Here is a 3,408-nt window from a genome sequence, read left to right on the forward strand (position 1 = left end):
AAGCCCTGTTCTATACCATTCCAGATCAAGAATCCACAAATGCATGGTCTTTGAAAGTCCCCCTTTTTTTCTCTGTGCCTCAGTATATCTATCTTTAAATGGCTGGACAGGCTTATTTCTGAAAGTACTTCCCATTCTATTGCACTGTAATTGTAGCTATATGTTCAAAAATTAAGAATTGTTTAGTGTTCTTGAAAACTATTTTTCAAAATTGTATTTCCTGCTTTAAAAATATAGTGTGATTCTTTGCTGATTAAGCAATCCTTTGAGCAGGACAAAAGGAGGTAATCAGTACTTCATCCACCCATTTGTTTATGTCACAGATGTTAATCCAGCCCCAACTCTGACAGGGAGCCACTGACTTGAAGAGACCCACCTCAGTCACAAAGAATCTTACCAGCTGTTCCAGCCTACCTGCCTTGCTCCTTCGGCTCCTTTATTTCCATGCCCTGATTCAGCAGAGAAGGACTTTCACTTCGCGGGAATGTATGACTGTCAAAGTGTGAGGCAGCTAACTGCTGAGAGAAAGTGTTGACAGGCCCTTGGGAGCTTACTTGCTCAGCAGGACCCTGCTAAGTGCTGGTGGTAACAAAAGGCATTCTCCAAGCCTCTTTGAAGAGAAGTATGAAAGACTATAAAAAGAAAAAAAAACAGAGTGCCATGGGGCCATTTCTGGAGACCCAGTCTAGTGCAGACATTGGGAAGGAAACAGGTGAGAGGAAGGAAAAGCAGAGGAAGACAACTGAGAGTTTACATCATGTTTTTTCCATGCATCTAGCTATTATTCTTTTATCTTTCTGTATGCAAGAAAAAGTTAAGTGTTAAGGATCCCATTCAAGTTCCCTTCCTGCTCTTCAATGCAGCCCTAACCAGTTCACTGAATGAGAGGATCATTTAGACAGCTGGTCTAAGGCAAAAATAAAGCTTAGAGAGACACATAACTTTTGCGCTAGTCACAGCTGGGCAACCCTAACAGGTGTTCCCTTCATGCACCATGACATGGAGATGACTTTGAATCTTTGCCAATTGTGTGGTATTTTTTTTTTTAATCAAAAATGAGTCTCATTGAAGCTGGATGTCTTTTAAATTGTGCTATGTATCATCATCATCTATGGGCCATTTCTAAATATCTGAGCACCAAATGTGTATGAGGAACAGGAAGAAACAAATGAAAAGGAAAAAAGGAAGAAAGGAAGGGAGGCGAGAAGGAAAGTAGGAAGAAAGGAAGGGAGGATAAAGGAAAGAAGGAATTTTCTAAGCTGCCACACTGCATACTCAAGAAACTCTGAGTCCTCAAATGAGATGTTAATGTAGAGTGTTTTGGAAGAAACACTGTTTTTTGATGGCAAATAAGATTTCTCAGAGCAGCCAAATACGTAGAAGCAGCTGTGAGATCTCTCCTATGCAATAGTGCCAACCTGACATTAACCTAAGTCTGTGGAAGAGGTCTCCAATTAGGCAGAGCCAGGCTGCACAACTAGTAGGTCATCTGAAAATGGAGATGAGAATGAAACAATGTTGGAACACTGACAGGCAAGCTCTGGCCTTTCTATTGAGAAGGTGGATGGCAAAAACAACAGATTCCCACTCCATGCTTCAAGCATATTCAAACTGGTTTTTCCAAACCTCCAGGGAATATAGGAGGGGGCAGAAATGTCTATCCCTAGCAGTTTAGACAGTACTTTGTAAGTAAGTGGAAAATAAATATTGAATAAAAAGCAATATTTAATACAAACTGAGATTTGCTTAAGTTTTGGCAACTGATTAAAAACAGAAGTGGGACTAAAACTTTGCTTTCCAAACTAATGATTTCCTGCACCCCAAACAATAATGATTCTAATCACCACCAGTACCACCAGGCAGGTCCAAATTATTATAATACCATGCTTCTTAGAGGACAAACAGCTACAGAAACCACCAACACAAAGATTCATTCTAACACGAAGAGTGTTCTTTAAAGAAAATGCAGATTTTTGCATATATTTTTAAAATTAATTAATTTTTTTAATCACCACAAGAGAAAACAAAAAGTTTAGCCTAGTATGTGGTCTGATGTTAAAAAAGACAACATTGTAACTGGCTCTGCAGGGCCATCTTATTTGGTTACAGAGTAGTGAAGGGTAAAAGAAGTCACTCCAAGGTGAGGCATACCTTTGGGTTATAAAGAGAAGCCTCACTCACCTGAACAGGGTTTGTCTTCTTTCCCCATGTGCAATCCTGAAATTAGCTACCCTAAAAAATATCCTTGGTGAACCAAGAGTAGTAATAATTATTAAAAATTATAATTATGCAATTATAAGATGAGCTGAAAAGAGAAAAACAGGTAAAATATAGGAGATGAAGTAATCTCACCAGAAAGTATACTGTGACAAAGTTGATGAAAAATTTAACCCATGTATCACTGTAGATTAGAAAATTGAAACAATCATGTCCATGGTACAAGAATACAATCAGAGCTATCTGAGCTTAGGGAGGTTTTTGACATGCAAATAGAAAGAGATAAATCATGAGCTGACAGAGCCCAGGGAAAGTCAACATGTGAGCAGTTGGAAGGGACCCAAAATGGAGAAGAAGAGGCTGAACATTCCACAAGGGACATAAGAACCAAAATGATGAATGCGAACAGTACGGAATTTTTAAAAACATAAAGAAATAATATCTGTATAAAAAAGGAAAAATACATCCCAACTATGCCAATCAATAGTCTCCAATTGCTTAAAATCACCAAAAAGACAAATAGATTATAGGACAAAAAGGTAAACTAAGTCAAAATAGGTTTTCAGGAATAAAAGAATACTTAAATGTACAGATTGAAGACACTGGACATCAGACAATGAAAGATGATCAATGGGACATGAGAAATAAAGGATGTGAGCCCTAGGATTACCTAAATCATTGCCTTAAGAGAGTTTCCAGACCATAGATCAGGATGTGTGTACTTATTGAGTTGAGGAGGTGAAGCCCTGTGTACTTTGAGTTGAGGAGGTGAAGCCCTGTGTACTTCTTGAGTTAAGGAGGTGAAACTGATGCTTTGGGGAGAGCAAGGTGGTTAGAGTTCATTGGGTAGAGTGCTGAAAAGGAGAGAGCTGCACGCAAAGAACCTTGAAGATCTGCAGAGACCTCTTCTAATATATAGCAAAGTACAGATCAGTGCGTGCATATGAGGAAATGTCCCAAAGCCAGGGATAAAACCATCTGAAAGGATTACAGCAAACAGTGCCTCATGCTCACGGGATCAGAAACAGTACTTACTCTTACTAGCTAGACTGGACCACAGAGAGAAAAAGAAAAATTTTAGAATCTAAGAAAATAGAAGCTTTTCTAATAAAATATACATAATGAAAACTGGTTTCAGATGAGATAGCAAATCCAAATTCATCAATTATCATAAGAAATAGACAAAGTTAC

At 38.4% G+C, this 3,408-nt stretch overlaps 1 annotated feature.

Moving 5' to 3' along the window:
• Positions 256–958: an enhancer, noted in NCBI's record as "NANOG hESC enhancer chr2:17240233-17240935 (GRCh37/hg19 assembly coordinates)". NCBI's record gives its function as "activates a minimal SCP1, AML or CMV promoter by ChIP-STARR-seq in naive H9 embryonic stem cells {active_cell/tissue: H9 hESC(naive)}" and the evidence as "EXISTENCE:reporter gene assay evidence [ECO:0000049][PMID:30033119]".

The sequence above is a fragment of the Homo sapiens genome, chromosome 2 (assembly GCF_000001405.40).
Source record: "Homo sapiens chromosome 2, GRCh38.p14 Primary Assembly".
In the NCBI taxonomy this organism is placed as follows: Eukaryota; Metazoa; Chordata; class Mammalia; order Primates; family Hominidae; genus Homo; species Homo sapiens.